Source organism: Homo sapiens, chromosome 22, assembly GCF_000001405.40.
Source record: "Homo sapiens chromosome 22, GRCh38.p14 Primary Assembly".
NCBI classification, from domain to species: Eukaryota; Metazoa; Chordata; class Mammalia; order Primates; family Hominidae; genus Homo; species Homo sapiens.
The window spans coordinates 38,756,914-38,777,869 of NC_000022.11; the positions used below are offsets into that span (position 1 = coordinate 38,756,914).

General features: G+C 55.9%; 4 annotated features.

The window, feature by feature from the left end:
* Positions 227–366: an enhancer, noted in NCBI's record as "active region_19020". NCBI's record gives its function as "activates an Ori minimal core promoter by ATAC-STARR-seq in GM12878 lymphoblastoid cells {active_cell/tissue: GM12878}" and the evidence as "EXISTENCE:reporter gene assay evidence [ECO:0000049][PMID:35858748]".
* Positions 3,303–4,127: an enhancer, noted in NCBI's record as "H3K4me1 hESC enhancer chr22:39156221-39157045 (GRCh37/hg19 assembly coordinates)". NCBI's record gives its function as "activates a minimal SCP1, AML or CMV promoter by ChIP-STARR-seq in naive H9 embryonic stem cells {active_cell/tissue: H9 hESC(naive)}" and the evidence as "EXISTENCE:reporter gene assay evidence [ECO:0000049][PMID:30033119]".
* Positions 3,958–4,007: an enhancer, noted in NCBI's record as "active region_19021". NCBI's record gives its function as "activates an Ori minimal core promoter by ATAC-STARR-seq in GM12878 lymphoblastoid cells {active_cell/tissue: GM12878}" and the evidence as "EXISTENCE:reporter gene assay evidence [ECO:0000049][PMID:35858748]".
* Positions 4,608–4,657: an enhancer, noted in NCBI's record as "active region_19022". NCBI's record gives its function as "activates an Ori minimal core promoter by ATAC-STARR-seq in GM12878 lymphoblastoid cells {active_cell/tissue: GM12878}" and the evidence as "EXISTENCE:reporter gene assay evidence [ECO:0000049][PMID:35858748]".

Here is a 20,956-nt window from a genome sequence, read left to right on the forward strand (position 1 = left end):
CCGCCAACTGTACAGATAGAGCAGGTGCACAGCTTGGGATGAATCTCTTTCTGTGCCAGCCCTTCTAAGGGCAGATGAACAGTCGTTATTTTACTTTTAAAGTACCAAGAGGAAACGAGACAAGAATGACAAAATCACCGAGGCAGGAACAGGAAGGCTGTGGGGTCGGAGGATTGAGGAAAGGCAAAACCCTCATGCTAAAGCGGCTTCAGCCCAACTCCAGACAAGAACAGTCCCCTTTCCTGGGCCTCCATTGCCTGCTCTGGAAAGAGAAGAGTCTCCTGCTCTTCCACCCTCCTGGAGACCACGGTGCTGGCCATTATCACTCCTAGGTTTAGACTGCAAGCTCTTTGAGGACATGGACAAGCTCTCCAGAGCCTGGTACCGAGCCTGGCTCTGGTCTGAGTGTCTGCTGGATGGAGCAATGAAAGGAGAATTCAAATCAGACGTAGGGGCAGCATCCAGGTAGGGGAAGGGCCTCTCTGACTCCTCATCTCTGGGATGCGCAACTCCAGAATTCTGTCCTAACCACTTCTATGGAGTTGCCACATCCTACCTCCTCCATTGCACAGCCTGCTTCCCCCTCTCCGGGGGTCCTGGCAGACAGGGGGGTCTGGCCTTGCTGGGGTCGGGGGGGAGTCCAGGTCCCCTCCCAGGATGTGCTGAGTGGATATGTGAGGCTCATGCCCACAGGCTGACTGAAGGCAGGCCCCTCTTAAACTCTGCATCCTCTGGGGGCTGGGAGCAGGCAGAATAATGGTCGCTACAGGAATTCGGTACTAATGCTTGGAATCTGTGACTGTTATCTACATGCAAAGACTTTGCAGATGTGACTAAAGATTTTGAAATGAGATTATCCTAGATTATCAGGGTGGGCCCTAAGTGTAACACAAGTAACCCTTTAAGAGAAAGATAGGGGCTGGGCACTGTGGCACACGCCTGTAATCCCAGCACTTTGAGAGGCTGAGGCAGGTGGATTGCTTGAGCTCAGGAGTTTGAGACCAGCCTGGCCAAATTAGTGAGACCCCCCCCCCCCACCACCCATCTCTAAAAAAGAAAAACAAAAAAAGAAAATAATTAGCTGGGCATGGTGGTGTGTACCTGTAATCCCAGCTACTCAGGAGGCTGAGGTGGGAGGATAGCTTGAGCCTGGGAAGTCAAGGCCACAGTGAGCCAAGATCAAGCCACCACACTCCAGCCTGGGTGACAGAGCAAGACTCTGTTTCAAAACAAACAAAAAACCAAAGAGAGGCAGAGAAGACGAGCAGAGGGCAATGTGACCATGGAGGAAGAGATTGGAGTGATGAAGCCACAAGCCAAGGAATCAGAATAATAATAAGTGTCCTGTGTGCCACACCAATGAGCTCTGTGGCCTTGGACAAGTCAATGGGGCTCTCTGGCCTTCATTTTCTCTTGCATGAGGGTCACATGGGCAAAGGACTTCTGAACTACTTCATCCCAAAGGGGTTTTATCACCATGATCTTTGCGGGGAGACGGGAGGAGGTTGGGCCCTTGGTTTGTCCTGGACCCATCATCTGTCAGGTGGGCTTCTCTGTGCTGCCAGAGAGCAGGGCCTCCCCTCTAACACCCCACGTGATGGTGGAATGTGCTGTGTGCCTGTCTGCCTCCCCCATGGACACTGGACAGTGACAGGTCGTGGTGGGTGTTCAGCGTCCTATGAACACGAGTTAAGGAAGAGCCTCCAGTCACCTGCCTGCAACCCAGGCCAGCTCCACATCTCCCTCCCTGCTGTCAGCATCAGTCAGCAGCCAGGGTGTCGGCGTCTGTCATTTAACCATCACAGGCAGGCCTTGGCGGGGGCGGGGGACTTTCATGTCAGGCATTCTGGCTGCAGGAACTCGCTTGGCAGCTGTCAGAGGGCGGTAACCTCAGGGGAGCTTGGCGACCGACCCTCCCTCCAACTCCCGGGGGCTGTTTCTCTGCACCCTTGGGGATCTGATGTGGGCTCCCTATTCCACCCCACCCAGTCTGGTGACAAAGGCTGCGTATTTACAGAATCTTTCATCCTAAGAGCTCAAAGAGCTCCATCACCAGGTGACAACCGCAGTTAAACTCATTTTATGGAAGAAGGCTACTCTGAGGAGTGCAGGCGTGGGATCCAGGTTACAAAGTGGGTCAGCTAGGGTGCCAGGAACACAACGTGGGTCCCTGACTGAGGGGGACAGTCTTAGGCATGCAGAGATTTGGCCAGACTCTTATGGGTGACTGTGCCTTAGTCACCTCTGTCCCCCACACCTATTACAGTACCTGGCTCCTAATAAATGCTCAATAAACGTTCATCGAGCGACTGCCTGACTGCAGCTTCCCAGTCTTAAATCACCAGCTCCCCAGTGTGGTTGCAGACGCAGATCTCCTGCAGGCCTCACCTGCACTCCTGGGGCCTCACCCCAAGGCCTCTCCTACTCCTGAGCCCTTACTCAGGCTGTGCCTCAGCCTGGAACGCCTTTCCTTGTTTCTCTGCCTGATGACATTCTAATCTTTTGGCCGGGTGCAGTGATGAATGCCTGGAATCCCAGCACTTTGGGAGGCCAAGGCAGGCAGATCCCCTGAGGTCAGGAGTTCGAAACCAGCCTGGCCAATATGGTGAAACCCTGTCTCTACTAAAAATACAAAAAAATTAGCTGGGCATGGTAGTATATGCCTATAATCCCAGCTACTTGGGAGGCTGAGGCAAGAGAATTGCTTGAACCCGGCAGGCAGAGGTTGCAGTCAGCTGGCACTCGGTAGGTGTAAGCTCCAATTAGCCGTCATTGTCACCAACACCCTGAGCACAGTAGCTGGCTGAGTGTGTGCTGCCCACATGGAGGAAGGCCTGAGCTGGCTGTACACTCACAAGGGAGGCTGGGGCAGCGCTGGAGCTCCCGAGGGCACCGATCCATGGGCCAGAACTCAGGGGCTGACATAGCCTGCTTGCCCCATGTCCAGGGTGTTCCTCCTGGACTCAGCCTCTTCATACATCCACCAGGTGCTCCACCTTCTGTGGGGACATTCTGGGCCAGTGGTCCAGAGAGCAGGCTTGGAATGCAGACACTCCTGGTGAACGACGTGGGCAGGTTTAACCTTTCATTGTCTTGATGTCCTCATCTGTAAAACGGGGATGATATCAATGTGTCTGTGTCATGGGAGCTCAGTACAGTGCCTGGCCCTGGGCAAGGATTGCTAACTGTCACTAACTAGCAATCAAGGCTATTTTTTTTTTATTTATAAGCATTTATTTATTTAGCAAATACTTACCGCTTGCCTGTTCTGACAATGTAAGACATGCCCCTGCCCTCCCGGGGCCCACTGTCTGGTGGAGAAGGCAGTCATGTGAGCCGATCATCACAACACTTCAGACTCGTGCCCAGGAGGGACACAGGGCTCAAAGGGACCCAGTGTGACTTTCATGGGCCCCCTCCTCCAGAAAAAGTATTAAGTATTGTGTTTTGCAACTATGTCAGTATCCACAAGCCGGCTAGGTTATATCCATTTTTTTCCCTTCTGATTAAACAAATAATTAAAACATTTATGTCGGCCCCTGAAAATTCATGGCCCTGGCCCTGGGCCTGCTGTGCCTAGTGGAGAGTTGGTCTGGCCCTGACTCTCGTAACCAGACTTGGGGAGTCAGAGAAGCTGCTGGAGAAAGAGACCTCTGGAGAAAGAAAGGGCAAGAGGAGGAGCCGGGGACAGAGGGGACAAGAGTACCAGGCAGAGGGGATAGCAGCGAGAGCGCTCAGCTCACTGGTGGGGAAGCTGCCAGATGAACCAGGCCCCCTGCGTGGAGACAGCTGGCAGAGCCGCCTCTGGCCATCCAGCCCTGTCACTGCAACCTCCAGCTCTGTCCCTTGGGCTAGCTGGAACGCCATAGCACAACCCGAGTGCCCCCGACCCCAGTAAAAACTCCCCGGTCTACCCACCTCTCCCTCCTGCAGGGCTGCAGCCCCCAACCCCTGCTCTGGTCTTGGCTTTTTTGTCTGTAGAGCAGGGGGAGTAATTGTCCTGCTCCCTTCCCTGCCAGGTGTCTGTGGAGGCAGAGGAGGTGGGAGGACCCTCTAGGCCTTCAGTTCTCACAGCAGTGTTGCTGTGGGTGTGGCCTGTGTGCTTCCCATGCAGGGACACTCAGCACCCAGCTGTCAGCACTGCAGCCTGTACGCAGTGAGTCACTGAGGGTGGTCCCCAGGGAAGCCGGAGGGCTGGTGGGCCTTGGTTATGGCTGAGGGCATTTGAACCTGGGACCCCAGTTCATTCAGTCCTCCTTTGTGCCCACTGCCCCTCCCCCAGTGCCTCTGTTTCCCTGGGGACGGTGCTTCCCGACAGCCAGAGGGATCCAGGTGTAGGGAGTCTGGGTGGGTGGCCTTGATGGCACATAGCTGCATGTGGGCAGCTGCCCAGCTCGGCTTGACTCGGCTCTGCAGTCAAGCACGTCGGGCGGCACCTCCCAGGGCCCTGTCCATGCACCTGTGCGTCATATGCAGGACGGCCTGCGGCTGCCAGCCCGGGGCCTCAGGGGCTTGAGACGCAGGAAGTGGCTCTGCGGTAGGGCATAGTGGCCAGGAGCTGTGGGCTGGAGAGGGCACCTTGTTGATGCTGAAGGGAGGGACGGTGGGGCAGGATCAACTGAGCCATGGACCAGGGCTGTCCCCTCCCCTCCATGTCCAGGAGAGGCTCACCTCCAGGTGGGTGTGAGAAGGTGAGAGTGTGTGTGAGTGTGAGTGTATGTATGAGAGTGTGTGAATGTGTGTGTGTATGAGTGTGAGTGTGTGTGGGGAGTGTGTGTGAATGTGTGTGCGAGTGTGTGAATATGTATGTGTGTGTGGGGTAGTGTGTGGGAGTGAAAGTGAATGTATGTGTGCATGTATGTGTGCGAGTGTGTGTGAATGTGTGAGAATTGTGTGAATGTGTGAGAATTATGTGTGTGAATGTGTGCATGTTTGTGTGACTGTGTGCAAGTGTGTGTGTATGAGTGTGAGTGTGTGTGGGGAGTGTGTGTGGGGAGTGTGTGTGAATGTGTGTGTGCGAGTGTGTGACTGTGAATGTGTGAGTGTGCGTGTGTGAATGTGTGAGAATTATGTGTGTGAATGTGTGTGCATGTTTGTGTGAATGTGTGAATGTGTATGTGTGTGAATATGTGTGTAAATGTGTGTGCATGTTTGTGTGAATGTGTGTGCAAGTGTGTGTCTGTGTGTGAACTGATGCCTGCTCTGGCGACCTCTCCTCTGTTCCCTGGACTGGCTTCCCGAGCTTGGGCCACACGGGCTCTGAGGGTCCCCTGGGTCATGGTCTTCCCTCTCTTCTTTGAGTCTGGGGTGCTCGGAGCTCCCCTGTTTTCGCCTCCTTTTCTGTGCCCAGGTTCTTTTCTCGGTGACCCCATCCTCCTCTGTTTGATTCTCAACGGCTTGGCTCTTAGGGCCAAGGTGGCTGCGGTGATTTGTAATTCAGGCAATTTCTTAATCTTCTCCTTCTGGCCTCTCCCCAGGCCAGCCCCCACCCCTCCTCAGCTCCCTCAGCGCCAGGTTCCTGCCCCCACCCCATGCCCACCCAAGTCCTGCCCAGGACATGCTTTTTGGATCCTGTGCCCCCCTCTCCCTCCCACAGGCTCAAACCGTTCCCCCTGGGACCCCCTTGGCACAGCCCCGCCTCCTCCTCCAAGACAGACGGGCCTTCTGCCCCCATGGGGCCTCTTGCTACGCTGTCCTCTTCTCCAGTGAGCTTCAATCCCTGAACTTGACTCTGGATGGTTTCTGCAGCTTCCTGGCTGCCCCCTCCCCTCCTCTCCGCTCCAGCCTCCACAAAGCTGCCAGGCGGATGTTCCTGAAGCAGGGGCTGGACCCGGCCACCTGCCTGCAGCCGATCATCCGTGCATGGCTCATCAGCCCCACGGCCAAGTCCATGGCCTGGAGGCCCCCGTGACACGGCCTCTATCTGCCCCTCTGCCTCATGGCCTCCCCTCCCCTCCTTCCCCGCTAACTGTGTAGAAAAGAATGAATGTAGCAGGCTGGAGACAAAGGCCTGCTTGCAAGGCTGGCCCTGGGCTGGCATCTGGGAAGCTGGATTTTGGGAGGATTCCCACCATTCCCTAAGAAGACCAGCTCACAGTGCCAGAACTGTTTCTACACACAGTGTGTCCACGATGCACGCCGGCTTTCCTTCTGGGGGGCTGGAATTCCGGTACGTGCCAGGCAGAGGGTGCCCATGAACCAGCCCCTGGGCTGAACCCCGGGCACTGAGTCTCTTTTGGGTGTCCCGTGTTGTCACCACTTGTTCTGGAGGAATTGATTACATCCTGGTAACTCCACTGGGTCCGCTGGGGGAAGATTTTTTTTCTTTTTTTTTTTTTTTTTTTCGAGACGGAGTCTCGCTCTGTCTCCCAGGCTAGAGTACAGTGGCCCAATCTCGGCTCACTGCAAGCTCCGCCTCCTGGGTTCACACCATTCTCCTGCCTCAGCCTCCCGAGTAGCTGGGGCTACAGGCGTCTGCCACCACGCCCAGCTAATTTTTTTTTTTTGTATTTTTTGTATTTTTAGTAGAGAGTAGAGACGGGGTTTCACTGTGTTAGCCAGGATGATCTCGATCTCCTGACCTTGTGATCTGCCCACCTCGGCCTCCCAAAGTGTTGGGATTACAGGCGTGAGCCACCGCGTCTGGCCTTTTTTTTTTTTTTTTTTCACCTTTAAGCTCTGTTGGACTTGAGGGGAAAAGATTCTTTTTTCTTTTTTTTTGAGACAGAGTCTCGCTTTGTCGCCCAGGCTGGAGTGCAGTGGTACAATCTTGGCTCACTGCAACCTCCGCCTCACGGGTTCAAGCGATTCTCCTGCCTCAGCCTCCCGAATAGCTGGGATCACAAGCATGTGCCACCACACCCAGCTAATTTTTGTATTTTTAGTACAGACAGGGTTTCGCCATGTCAGCCAGGCTGGTCTCGAACTCCTGACCTTAGTTGATCCACCAGCCTCGGCCTCCCAAAGTGCTGGGATTATAGGCATTAGCCATCGCGCCCAGCCAGTCCAAGGCTTCTTGACCAGGGCAGCTGAGGTGGAGGCTCCCCCACCTTCTCTCATTTTTCATTATTAGCCTCGCGAGCGTGTTATAAACAAAGGCTGATTTTCACGCAGTCTTTGGGGAGTCCTCCTGTCTGTGAAGCAGAGTGACCCTGAAGGTCAAGCTGGCGACAGTGGGCAGGAGGCCTGGCTTGGTCCACGTCCGATGGCAACACTACTCCACCGGACAGGGGTTGGGGACACTCCTCCTTCCACACTCTTGTGCTGGAAAAGATGCCAGGCTGGGCAGCTGGGGAAAGAACCCCAGGCAGCTGAAAAACAATCCCGGCTTTGGCTGTTGGAAACACCCCCAGCTTTTTTTTTTGTTTTGAGACGGAGTCTCGCACTGTCATCCCGGCTGGAGTGCAGTGGCGCAATCTTGGCTCACTGCAACCTCCGCCTCCCAGGTTCAAGTGATTCTCCTGCCTCAGCCTCCGGGGTAGCTGGGATTACAGGCTCCCACCACCACGCCTGGCTAATTTTTTATTTTTATTTTTGTATTTTCAGTACAGACGGGATTTCACTATGTTGGCCAGGCTGGTCTTGAATGCCTGAGCTCGTGATCCACCCACCTCAGCCTCCCAAAGTGCTGGGATTACAGGCGTGAGTCACTGTGCCCGGCCGGAAACACCCCCTGCTTTTTAGTCCTTGGGGTGGACGATGCTGTCCCAACCCTCAGGAAGGACGCTGGGTATCGGGGCCACAGGGATCTCTAACTGAAGCCACCCTGGCCTCAGCCTCAGTGACCCTCTGCCCTGGTGAGAACTAGAAGGGGACTGTCCCTGCAGCAGGATGGCCACCCCGACCCCACCAGCCATGCCTCAGGTGTGGGAGTGGAACCTCGTCCACAGAAGCTGCCCCTTATGCGTTACAGGACCTCATCAGCCACCCACCTCTCAGAGGACAAGAGTGTTTGTGGGGTTACTACGAAGGTTAAATGAAATTATTTTTATTTCAAATGATTTTTAAAAAATCATTTAAAATATTATGACTTGGCTGCGTGTGGTGGCTCATGCCTGTAATCCCACCACTTTGGGAGGTCAAGGTGGGCAGATCACTTGAGGTCAGGAGTTCGAGACCAGCCTGGCCAACATGGTGAAACCCCATCTCTACTAAAAGTACAAAAATTAGCCGGGCGTGGCGGTGGGCGACTGTAATCCAGCTACTCGGGAGGCTGAGGCATGAGAATCACTTGAACCCAGGAGGTGCAGGTTGCAGTGAGCCGAGATCATGCCACTGCACTCCAGCCTGGGCGACAGAGCAAGATTGTGTCTGAAACATAAATAAATAAAATAAAATAAAATAAAATAAAATAAAATAAAATAAAATAAAATAGTATGACTCAATGAATAATCTGTGCCGCACATTTTAGCATCAAGAAGGGGTGGGGCTGAGTATCCCTGGGCCCTCCCCAGGCCTAAGACTCTGAGTCTGTGTCTAAAGTCCTGGGAACCTCACTTGTGGTGGTTCATAGACATCACCAGGTCATGGACGGTGACAGAGGACAGAACACCCCAGGGGAGGCTCTCACCTGCTCTCTCAGCGCTCAGGAGAGACGAAGAGGGGTTTCTGTTCACCTCCAGACACAGGTGCACACACACCCCACACAGACACATACAGAGATACACAAAGACATAGACACACATACATTAGAGACACACAGACACACTTGGATACATCGAAACACACACACACACAGACTCCTGAGGAGCTCTGCTAGGCCTTGGGACCTTGAAGGTTCCTGGAGAAAAGGTAGGAAAGGGGCTCCCCCAGGCCACTTGGGGTAACAGTGGGGGGCTCACCATGTAGCCCTTGCAGCCACTGTCACCCTGGAAGTGCTCAGATTGGGAAAGGCTCTGTCAACCTGGGGAAGGGGCCACAGGGGACTCCAGTGGGGCTCAGTGGGGCTCAGGGGCCACCCAATGAGCTGGGAGTCAGTAGCCCCTGCTCTCATCCAGTGCTCTAGGACAGGCTACAGGTAGGTGGGCTGGTTGCTTGCCAGCCATTCTGACCAACTACTCAAAGCCCAAACCTCTCTGAGCCTCACTGGCCCACAGGTAGAATGAGGAGGTGGCCAGACAGCAGTTTGCCAGAATGTTCCCTAAGATCTGAGGACAGGATCCCTGCCGACTCCCCCTACTTCGACTAGAGCTGTTCTGCTCTGGTTGACACACTGGGGTTCCCTGGGCAAATTGATTTGAAAAAAGGGATTCTGCTGCCACAGAAAAAACAACAACAACAAAAAAAAGACAACTGGCCTGGCCAGCTGCCCTGTGACTCACCCTGGCTTGGCGCCTGCCACCTGTATCCAGGATGAGGATGAGCAGCGGGAATCCTTCCGACCCAGGCACAGCAGGCGAGTCTGTCTCCCCCTAGGGGCAGCTGGGAGAGTCATGGGCATAGCTTGGCTGAGGAGCTCCGGTGGACCCGGGCCCACCCCAGTCTTGGGGCAGTGGTTGGCCAGGCTGGGCCCAGGGAAGGGGGATTGATGTCTCATAGGCTCGGGTCTCGTGGAAAGGCCGAAGGGCTGTCAGCAGACATGGCCCCATGTGCACCCTGAACTCAGGGAAGGATGTTGGCTCAGTCCATATTCCTCTCTGGGCCTCTGTTCTCCAAGAGAAGGGCATGGCCATTGACTGCTTTCATTATCTTGTGCCAGGCATGGGGTTCCCAGTGAGTGAGACCCCGCAGGGCTGTCCTCTGGTGCAGAGAAGAGGGATTTGTGGGGTCACACCAGGACTCACATAATCACGTAATGTCCTTATAGTCTCTTTAGTCCTGCTTCAGGTCGCTCCTCTTTTTTTTCTTTTTTTTTTTTTTTTGAGATGGAGTTTCGCTCTTGTTGCCCAGGCTGGAGTGCAATGGCGCGATCTTCGCTCACCGAAACCTCTGCCTCCCGGGTTCAAGCCATTCTCCTGCCTTAGCCTCCTGAGTAGCTGGGATGACAGGCATGTGCCACCACGCCTGGCTAATTTTGTATTTTTAGTAGAGGAGGGGTTTCTCCATGTTGGTCAGGCTGGTCTTGAACTCCCGACCTCAGGTGATCCACCTGCCTGGAACACTCCCAAACATAGCTAGCTGCATGGCCCATTCCCTCCCTGGCCCTCTGCTCCGGAGTCCCACTGACGTCAGGATACCCTGGCAGAGGGCAGGGGCACTCATGCTAGGCCAGGGATGGCCACTGCTGGTCCTGGGTGGAGGGGCCACCGCGGCACGCCTTCCACAGCCCCAGGGACACCTTCCAGACAGACCATGGGCGCAGCTTCACCTCCCGGGGCTTTCGCTCCTTTACCTGCTAAAAGTGGGGTAGTGACGTCTGCCTTGAGGGGCTGTGGATAGGCCACAGTGAGAACATGGCTCAGGGCTGTGCACATGCCCACCTCCCTTCCTCCCCTGGCTTCCTTCCCCAAACAGCCCACAGGCAGGCCATTCTACAGTTGGGGGAAATGGGCCTGGATCCCTCAAGAACACGAGGCTTTGAGCCTGCTCTGGACTTACTTGTCTGCTTGGCCACATTAGCTGTATGATCCTGGCAGCGCACCTGGCCGCTGTTTCCCCGCCCTGCCTCCTCAGGTGCACCCACAGCTGTACGCGGTTCTAGAGGGACGCTCCTGGGAGGGGGTTGTTTTTTGAGGAGGAGGGGGCGGTACGGAGCAGGCCAGGGTCCCTTTTCAGGGTGACTGTAGGCTTGCAGGGTGGGGTGGACTCTGTTCTATAGGTGACACTCCCAGCCACAAAAAGGATGCCAAGAGGGGCTGGCCCTGCCTGCATTTTCCCTAAACGCAGATGCTGGGGCCTGTGCATCCTACAGCGGGTAGGGAGCCCCCTTCCCCTGCAGGGAGCTCAGAACTGCCCCACTTTAGGCAAACCTAAGTGAAGAATCCGAAGATGCTGTGGAGGGAATGTTGGAGTGTTCCCCAGAGCTTCCCCATCCAATTCCATTATCTTATCCCCTGGGGGAAGAGGATGAACCAGTCACTCCCACGAGCTCCCAGAGAGGCACCCAGCATGGACAGCAGCACTGGGGCAATGAGATTTGGGCACCCAGGTGGGAGCTCTTGGAATAACCTTCTGAAAGGAGGGGCCTCGGAGTGTGGAGGCAAGAGCAGTGGGAGGAAGAGGTGGGTGATGATTGCCAATGGGACCACCAGGTCCCAGGTGTCTCCCTGGACAGGACCTGAGCACCTTCCCCTCTGCCCTCAGGGGCCCTGTGAGACCGGCAATACTGAGCGGCAACATGGGGTGAGCTCGGAGTGGGAAGAGGAGGAGCTGAAGCCCGCAGGCCTGCAGGTGCAGCGAGGTGCGGACCTGCCTGCTCTGAGGTGGCTGCTCTAGGACCTACACAGGTAGGGCATGCAGCAGGTGCTCAATAAATATTTGTGGCTGGGCGCAGTGGCGAGAAGGTGGGGGAGCCTCCACCTCAGCTGCCCTAGTCAAGAAGCCTTGGACTGGCTGGATGCGATGGCTAATGCCGGTAATCCCAGCACTTTGGGAGGCTGAGGTGGGTGGATCACCTGAGGTCAGAAGTTTGAGACCAGCCTGGTCAACATGGTGAAACCCCATTAGTATTAAAAATGCAAAAATTAGTCGGGTATGGTGGCAGGTGCCTGTAATCCCAGCTACTAGGGAGGCTGAGGCAGGAGAATCGCTTGAACCTGGGAGGGGGAGGTTGCAATGAGCTGATCACGCCACTGCACCCTGGCCTGGGTGACAGAGCAAGACTTTGTCTCAAGAAAATAAATAAATAAATAAATAAATAAATAAATAAATAATTAATTAATAAATATTTGTGACTGAAGAGCAGAAGGAAGTCAGGCCTGACTCGAAGCCACCACACCTTTTCTCACTTGGGCCCAATGAGTGTGAAGAGGCTGAGCCTCAGAGAAGGGTGAGGTGAGCCCCCCAGCACCCTCCCAGCAGGCCCCCTCAACTGCAGTCCTCCCAGTGTCTCCCCCAAGTCCTCCCAGGGCTTGGCCAGCCCTCCCAGTGTCCTCCCAGCGCCCCGTTGATGAGCCACGTTATGCCCACATGTGGCCATGAGAGGTCGCCCTGCGCCGCCGGCTGCAGCGAGACTGCGTGGTGGAGGAAGGAGCTCATCTTGGAGAAATAGCAGGATGCGGCCAGGGCAGGATTGGAGGATTGTATTATCCAGAGGGGCAGGGGTGCAGGGATTCCCAACGTTCTGCTGAACAGTGCACCGTAAAGGGGTCCCTTGGGGCATAGACAAGAGATGGGCCCAGGGAGGGGGCGGCTGGCCCCAGAGACACACAGCAAGCCCATGGCAGAGCCAGAGGGTCCCCCGACCCAGGCCCTCACCTCCTGGGCTTGAAGAGGGCCTGCCTGTGTTTGGGGCATGTCACAGTCAGCCTCAGTTGGGTACCCAAGACTTCTGGACTGCAAGGTGGAGATGAGGTCAGAGAGGACAGGGCTGGGGACAGGGAGCGTGGGCTGGGGGCTGAGGGGGGAATTGGCTGACCCGAGGCCACAGTATCCTCCCTCACTGGAGGTCCTGCAGGTCATGCTGGTCACCCCTGTTGATGTGGAAGTGGAGCTGGGTGGGGCCTGGCTTGGTGGCTCTGCCAACTTGGTTTGGACCTCACTGATCCTGGGTCCCCAGACTTGAGGATTAGAGCTGGGCCCTGCTGAGAGGTGGTGGGACCAGGCCATGCTGGGCCTCGCAGGTCAGGTTGAAGCATTGGGTTTTGTCCAGGGAAGTGGATAAACTGTTGGCTGGGAGGTTAGGCCACGCTAACCAGCATGGTCCCTCTGGTTATCATCAGGCAAGAAGTAAGTGGGAGCTGACTTAGGAGGCTGCTGCTCTCCGTGCCTATAGCATAGCTTGAGGCCCAGCTCCATCCCTTACTGGCAGAGCAGGTTACCGGCCCTCAGACCTGGAAGAAGGGGCCTGTGTTCCTCAGGCCTGGCCCTGTGGCATCCCTCTCCTGCAGGAGGCCCTTCGTGGCTCCCCACTGTGGGCCCAATAACACATGTGTCTCGCCCAGCCCCGTCTTCAGCGCTATGCACTCGTCACTCATAGCTCGTTGGCTGCAGTGCCCTGACCGCTCCTCATCTCCCTGGGGCCCACTGAAATCTCTTCCAGCCCCAACTCAAATGTCCCTTCCTCTGAGAAGCCCTCCCGGCCAGCCCTGGGCATCGAGGCCTCCACTCCTCTGGGCTCCCTGGCACTTCCGGCCCCTGGGAACTCAGTGGTCATGTTGGCCGAGTCTGCAGTCAAGGCCCCTGCGGGAAGAGAGCTGCTGCTGGTGGCAGGGATGGGCCGTATCTGGCCATTCCAGGGTCCAGCGGCAAATACAGCATTCAACAAAATGGATGGAGAGGAAGGGAAAAGAAGGGAGCCCGGGACAGAGAAACCGGCTGAGACCCTGTCCTGGAGCCCCTGAGCGTCTGAGCTGTACAGGCCTCACGCAGCCCCCTTGCTTCTCACTGCACTGGGGGCCGGAGGGGCTTGGCTCCAGCCCGGGTACCCAGCACTCTCCTGGGGTCCGGCCTGCTGGAGCCTTATTGAGGAGAAGACAGGGCTGGGCTCCAGAATACTCATTACAGGATGTGTGCCCACCCTGGACAAACCTCTGAAGACGCCAGCCCATCACCAACGTGCTACTGCCTTCTTCAGCTCCACAGGGTCCCTGTGCTGGGGCAAGGACCAGCTAGCCCCATCAGAGATGCCCCTCCCCCTGAATCCTTGAGGGCCTCCTTTCACAGTGGCATTTCTGATGTCCGGTGGGTCGCCTTTCCCTGTTCAGCACCCTGTCTCCATCCTGGCGCGTGCTCCCTGCCCCCAGCCCACCCTCCGGGAGGGAGCTGCACCTGCCATGTGGGTGCTGTTGCCTCCTTCCAAGCCACCCATTTCCGTGCCTTGCCTCAGCCAGTGAAGCCCACACAGGTCTGACCCCTGCCTGTCTCTCCAGAGGCATCTCTTACAGCCCCTCACCCACGTGGCCCCCTTGCCCTGGCTGCACCAAATGGCCTTGTTTTCTTTTCTTTCTTTTTTTTTGAGATGGAGTTTCACTCTTGTTGCCCGGGCTGGAGTACAATGGCGCGATCTTGGTTCACTGCAACCTCTGCCTCCTGGGTTCAAGTGATTCTCTTGCCTCATCCTCCCAAGTAGTTAGGACGACAGGCATGCGCCACCACACCTGGCTAATTTTGTATTTTTAGTAGAGACGGGGTTTCTCCATGTTGGCCAGGCTGGTCTCGAATTCTGGACCTCAGGTGATCCGCCTGCCTCGGCCTCCCAAAGTGCTGGGATTACAGGTGTGAGCCACCGCGCCCGGCCAATGGCCTTGTTTTCTAAAAATGTCACGCTTCTTTGTTTTCAGCACTGTGCACACACTCCTGGCTCCTCCTCAATCCCATCCTCTTGTATTGACCTTCAGCTCCTTCCTAGAGATCCAGTTCAAATGTCCTTCCTCTGGTCTCTGCCCCTGTCCTGGGCACTCTCAGTACCCAGAATGGCACTCTGCATACAGAGCTGTTCCTGTTGTCTCCTGCGTCTGCCTAAATGCAAGGTTCTCAAGTGTGGCAACCATGTCACACTGTTCTGTGTTACTGGCCCCAGCAGAGGCCAGCACAAAGAATGGGCTGAAAAGTTTGGTGAATCAATAAGTGGATGACAAGGGCATTTACTTAATAAACAATGATTGAGCACCTGCTGGGTACACAAGCCCATACCGAGCCTCGTAGTGGGTACTGTAACACGAAGCCCCTCAGCTGGGGCAAATGCCTGGAGAGCAGTCAAAGCAGGGAGGTTCTGCTCACCGCCCTGCCCCAGGGTAAACAGGAAAAGCTCCAGAGAAGCTTTGCAGGGCGCTCCTGCTGGAAGCACCCTCCGGAACATCTGCCCGGTGCCCCCTCGGCTCTGCCAGTTCCTTCAGGAGGCCCCTTTAGAGTCTGTGTACCCTGGGAACCAGAGTGAGTGTGTGTTTCCTCTGCATAGGGCCCAGCACCTCATAGGAGCCCCTGAATATTTGCTGAATGATGGCTGGAAAGACCACCAGGACAGCAGGCTGGTCCCCAGTTGCAGGCGAGACTGAAAGCTGTTGTCATGTCAGAGGCTTGTGAACCAGAGCAACTCCATCTTGAATAGGAGCTGGGTAAAATACGAGGCTGAGACCTACTGGGCTGCATTCTCAGGTGGTTAAGGCATTCTAAGTCACAGGATGAGATAGGAGGTCGCCACAAAATACAGGTCATAAAGACCTTGCTGATAAAACAGTTTGCAGTAAAGAAGCCGGCCAAACCCCACCAAAATCAAGATGGTGACAAGAGTGACCTCTGATCATCCTCACTGCTACACTCCCCTCAGCGCCATGACAGTTTACAAATGCCATGGCAACGTCAGGAAGTTACCCTATATGGTCTATAAAGGGGAGGCATGAATAATCCACCCCTCATTTGGTATATCATAAGAAATAACCATAGAAATGGGCAGCCAGCCGCCCTCAGGGCTGCTCTGTCTATGGAGTAGCCATGCTTTATTCCTTTACTTTCCTAGTAAACTTGCTTTCACTTTACTCTATGGACTCACCCTGAATTCATTCTTGCACGAGATCCAAGAACTCCCTCTTGGGGTCTGGATCCAGATCCCTTTCCTGTACAGTCACAGGCCTAACATGAGACCCAGAGCCAAACTGGCCTCTTACTTGCTGCTTACCACCCTCTGGCAGCCGCTGCTGATGACAGAAGCGTTATGACCCCCTCTGCGGCTGCTTCCCCAGAACCTCATCCTCCCAGTGACCCTCTGGGCTCAGCTAGCAAGGACTTCTTCCCATTTTACCCACAAGGAGAATGGGGCTCAGGAGACGAAGGGAGTCACTCAAGGCCACACGGCTGGCATGGGGTGGGGCCGGCGTTGGAACTCAGGTCTCACTGCAAAGCCCAAGCTCTCTCCCCGCTGTGCTGCCCTTGAACAGCACCTTCCCTTCCACGCATGGGTTCCACTTGTGTTGGATTTTCATCTTTTCTTAGGATCCAGGTCTAAGTGGAGTGACTGTGAGTCCCAAACGGACCTGAGGCCTTTCATAAGGGGCCTGGAAATTTGGCCGAGGGCATCAGAAGTCAGAGGACAAAGTTCAGCCCCTGACCCAGTCCTTGCTGATACACCTCCTGGAGAAGTCTTTTCTTTTTTCTTCCTTGTTTTTTTTTTTTTTTTTTAAGAAGGAGTCTCGCTCTGTCACCCAGGCTGGAGCGCAGTGGCGCGATCTTGGCTCTCTGCAACCTCCACCTCCTGGCTTCAAGCGATTCTCCTGCCTCAGCCACCTGAGTAGCTGGGACTACAGGCACGTGCCACCACGCCTGGCTAATTTTTATATTTTTAGTAGAGACAGAGTTTCACCGTGTTGGTCAGGCTGGTCTCGAACTCCTGACCTCAAGTGATCCACCGACCTCAGCCTCCTGAAGTGCTGGGATTACAGGCATGAGCCACTGTGCCTGGCCCTGGAGAAGTCTTTTCCATCCATCCACTCATCCACCTATCCACCCACCCATCCACTCATCTACCCATCCACCCACCCACACACCCACCCACCCATCCATTCATCCATTCATTCACCCATCTATTCATCCACCCACTCACCTATCCATCCACCCATCCACCTATCCACCTATCCACCCACCTATTCATCCATCCATCCATCCATCCATGGACCCATCCATCCATCCACCCATCCATCCATCCATCCATCCACCCATCCATCCATCCACCCATTCATCCACCCACCTGTTCTTTCATTCACTCACTTGCTAGTCACAATGCATTTTCGATTCATATCAGCCCGACCCAGTCATTGCTGATGCACCTCCTAGAGAAATCTATTCCATCCATCCACCCATCCACCCATCCATTCATCTATCTGTCCATCCGCCCATCTACCCACCCACGCATCCATCCACTCATCCATTCCTATTTTCATTCACTCACTTGCTAGTCACAATGCATTTTCAATTTATATCAGGCCCTGGGCTAGGCATTGGGGATGCACAGAGAGATAAGACAGCCCCAGCCATCGAGTAAATAAAGCATAGCAGGTATAGACACCATGACAGAAGATGTGGCACCGTGGGGACGCAAAGTGCCTATGTGTCATGGGTTGCAGCGGGGAAGGGGTTCTGGAGGAGCTGGTATCACTCTGAGCTGCTGATGTGCAGTGGAGACCTGAGGCCAGCTCCCATCCTGGCATGTCACATGTTCTCTATGACGCCATCTCCCTACTGTTAGGGGAGGGAGGAGTCGCATGGAAACTTCCAGGCTGCTTCATTGGCCATTTTGAGACTGGAAGGACAAACGCAGTGTGGACCCTGCTGGGTCAACAGCCAAGTCCTCCCACATAATTGCCATTGGGATTGTCTTTCTGGGTTCTGGTCCCAGCCACCTGGGGCCCTTGGTCACTGGACCAGGTGCATGTGTGTGTGTGGCCGCCCTGCCTCTCCTGCTTTGGCTCTGCAGGGGCCCAGTGCCTACAGGGGCTTAGAGATGATAACCTACCTACCTGGCACACCCCAGCCTTCCAGACTCCCAAGCCTCGCACCCAGAGTGGAGGCCCAAGGAAGGGATGGCCCCCCACAGCACCTGACCCAAATCTTTGATCAGCCCTTCCAACTTTAAAGCACACTCACATTCAGGGCCACTGTCTCCTGGGAGCCCTACAGTAACTTTGGGAAGCAGGCATAGCCGGAGCTGCGAGTCCTGTCTTGCAGGTGATGAAACTGAGATCTGAGAAGCGAAGTGGCTTGTTCAAGCTGGCAGGCAACCCTGGAGAGGGTTCAGAACTGTCACAGGCCTGCGGGGAACCCTGGCTCTGCCACTTAGGTTGTGGGTCTTCTCATCTGCATGAGGGGGACACTGAGGGCATCTCCTCACAGAATGGACGTACACATTAGGGAAGATGGGGTTGGTGAAATGCTTGGTGCTGTGCCTAGCACGTCTGAGGAATCTAATAGTTTGGGAATATTATTCAAAATGATTCGAGTCTTCTGCCTTCTAGGCGTGCTCTCCTTCCACCCCCACGGCCTTTCTAAGGATTGGAGATAGCAGCTGGCAGTGGGAGGTGGTTGTTTTAAATATGAGATGAGGAGAACGAAAGGAAATTAGGACAGGGTGGTGGCTTTTGTGGCTGCACTCTGACAACCCCCTCCCAAACCTGGACACAATCAGATGCTGCCTGCTTCTGCGCTTAAGGAGCTGAGCCTCTGCTGCACAGTTCTCACTCCTGCTGTGGGGCGTGGGTGGGGGACACTGGTTTGAGGGGGGCCCCCATAGCCCAAGGGCACACCCCCTTGCCTACCTGTAGGGTCTGTCCTCTGGAGAAGCAGGAAGTAGGTTAAACAAGATGCTGGAGTTTCTCTGCACCTCTTCCAAGGCAACATGAAATATTCACCAGATTTCTCCAAAGGCCCCGCAGAGAGCTTCAAAGCTGGCTGTCCCCGCGGCAGCACGCTCCCTTCCACAGGCGACACAAGGCCTCGTGACCAAGCCCTCACCCTCCACCTTCTCACACTGACTGCCTCGGCACCTCTTGCTCCCCACTCTTGGGAGGCCTGTGGTTCTGGAGTCCCAGCAAGGGGACCTATGGTTCACTCTCTCTGATCTGGCGGGGCACTCACTGCTCTCCCAGGCAGAGGGACAGGCCCTGGGGTTGGGGCCTGTGACTCCCTTTAGACATGTCCAGACAAGGTTTCCGATTTTTGCCCCACACTGACTCTGGCTGGGCCCAGCAGAGCGGACTGGGGTGTTAGTGGGGGGAGGCCCTCCTCCCCATACTGCAGATGGCAGCGAAGAGGCGGGGTTGGTGGCAGGCCTGTGGTCACTGCCTCCACTATAAATGCTGCAACTGCCGTGGAGGGTGCAGGGGAGGCCTGGCGATGGTGAGGGAAGCAGCTAGGAGATGGACGGCCCAAGGCGTGGCCAGGCCGCGGGGAGCCCAGCTGTCTGTGGGGGACGGGGCAGGAGGGAAGTGGACGGAAGGTCTGAGAATGCAGCGTGTGTGGAAGAGCAGGGACTATCCAGGCAGGCAGCCCAGGTTCAAGTCCCGGCTACAGCTGCTCCCTAGCTGGACCCTGGGTCAGACACTCCATCCTCCAAACCTGAGTTTCTCCATTTGTAAATAGCAACAGCAACCCCTAATTTGGAGGTCTGCTGAGAGTTACACATCAGGGTAAGCCCAGTGCCTGCCAAGTGGGGGAAGCCTCCTTCCTCCTGAGCCCCAGCAAACCCTTTCACCTTCAGCCCGTCCTCTCTCCCCACCCCCATATCCTCTCCCATCCACGGCCACTGCCCGGCTTCCCTGAACCCATTGTGAGCTTCCTGGAGCCCCCACTCTGCACGGGCGGCTGGTCCCTCAAACAATGGTGACTTCCCCCTCCCCACCCCCATCTCACCCCTTCCTGGGAAAATGCCAAGGCCCAGTTCAATGCCACCTCCTCTGTGAAGTCCTCCCCAGCCCCCTAGTGAGAGTCACTCTCTTCTCTGAACTCCAGATTCCCTGAACCCCGTCTTCTCTCTTCTGGCAAATGAACCTGTCTTGCTTTTCTGTTCCTGGGTCTGGCCCTCAGTAGCCTGTATGCTGGGTGGCAAGGACGGTGCCTTCTCCGTGGTCACGGACCTCTCCTTTCAGCCCATCATCAAATGCTTATTGAATGTTACGGGCAGCAAGGGCCCTGGAAGGCCAGGTGTCCACGTCTGGCATGGGTCTTGGGGAGTGGAAGTAAAGCCACCGGGGCCAAGGAAACCCCTGGGAAACACACCTGCCATGGTTCCGTCACCTGACCTGGCCCAACGGTGACCACACCATTGTCTGGGAGCAGGAAGGGGAGACTGTGAATGACCCATTTCTGGGAAGGCAAGTGAGGAGGGTTCTGCTGCAGTGACAGGAGTGACTAGGGTAGAAGGTTTGCTCGCCACCTGTGGTGCCACCGTACGGTGTGACTGTGAGGGCCAGACACTGCACAAGCCTCATCTCACTGAATCTCCACCCACCCCGAGGAGCTGGTGTCAGCACCCCGTCCACAGGTGGCAAGAGGAGGGGCACAGCGATAATGCGGTGCACACCTCGGGGGTGTCACCTGTTCCAGTTGCGGTCCCAGGCCTCCCGTCAACCTCGTGAGGTGGGTGCGGTGTATCCCCATTCTACAGACAGAGCCACTGAAGACAGAGAAGTTAGGAGGAGCAGGGCCAGACCCGAACCAGCTCTGCGGGCCTCAGCACCCACGCTCCTGCCACCCCCACCACCCTGGTTGCCGGCTGAGCCAGCCTCGCTTTTTGGCGCCCACGTGCAGCAGATGAAAGGAGAGAACAGATGCAGAGCGGGCGGTAATCAGCGCAGCTATTCTAGGCCTCGGCGCCTGCTCCCCACCTCCAGCGCCGGCCCCCGCCTCTCCGTTCACTCCCTTCTGCCAATCCCTCCGCAACACCCGAGTGGCACAGGGTTCTGGCCAGGGCAGGTCTGAGGCCAAGAAGCTGCCCCATCCGCCAAGTCCCAGAGGGCCAGGACCAGCTGGAAAGCCACCCAACCAGATGGTCAGCCTTGAGGCAACGACTGCGCCTTCTCGTTCTTGTCTGTCCCACTGCTCTTGGACCGGGTGCGCACACGGCAGCAACCTTCCCCTTGGCTGCATGGGTCTGGTCTGAGCAAACCTTACCTGCTCGCCATGAGGCTGCCCAGCCAATCTGTTGATGGATCTTGTTAGTGCTGGACGCTCAGTCTCACAAGGGTGGGACTGGGACTGGGATAAGGACAGGGCTTCAGCTCCCAGACCCATGTATCCTAGGGACCATCTCAGGAGGGCCCCTGTGTGCATGGGAAGGCGGGCTCTCCCCGCTCTCCCCACGCCCGGGGTGTTCACTTCTGAGGCTCGGATTCAGGGGACAACCCCTGAGGGGGCTTCACAGGCCTGCACGTGG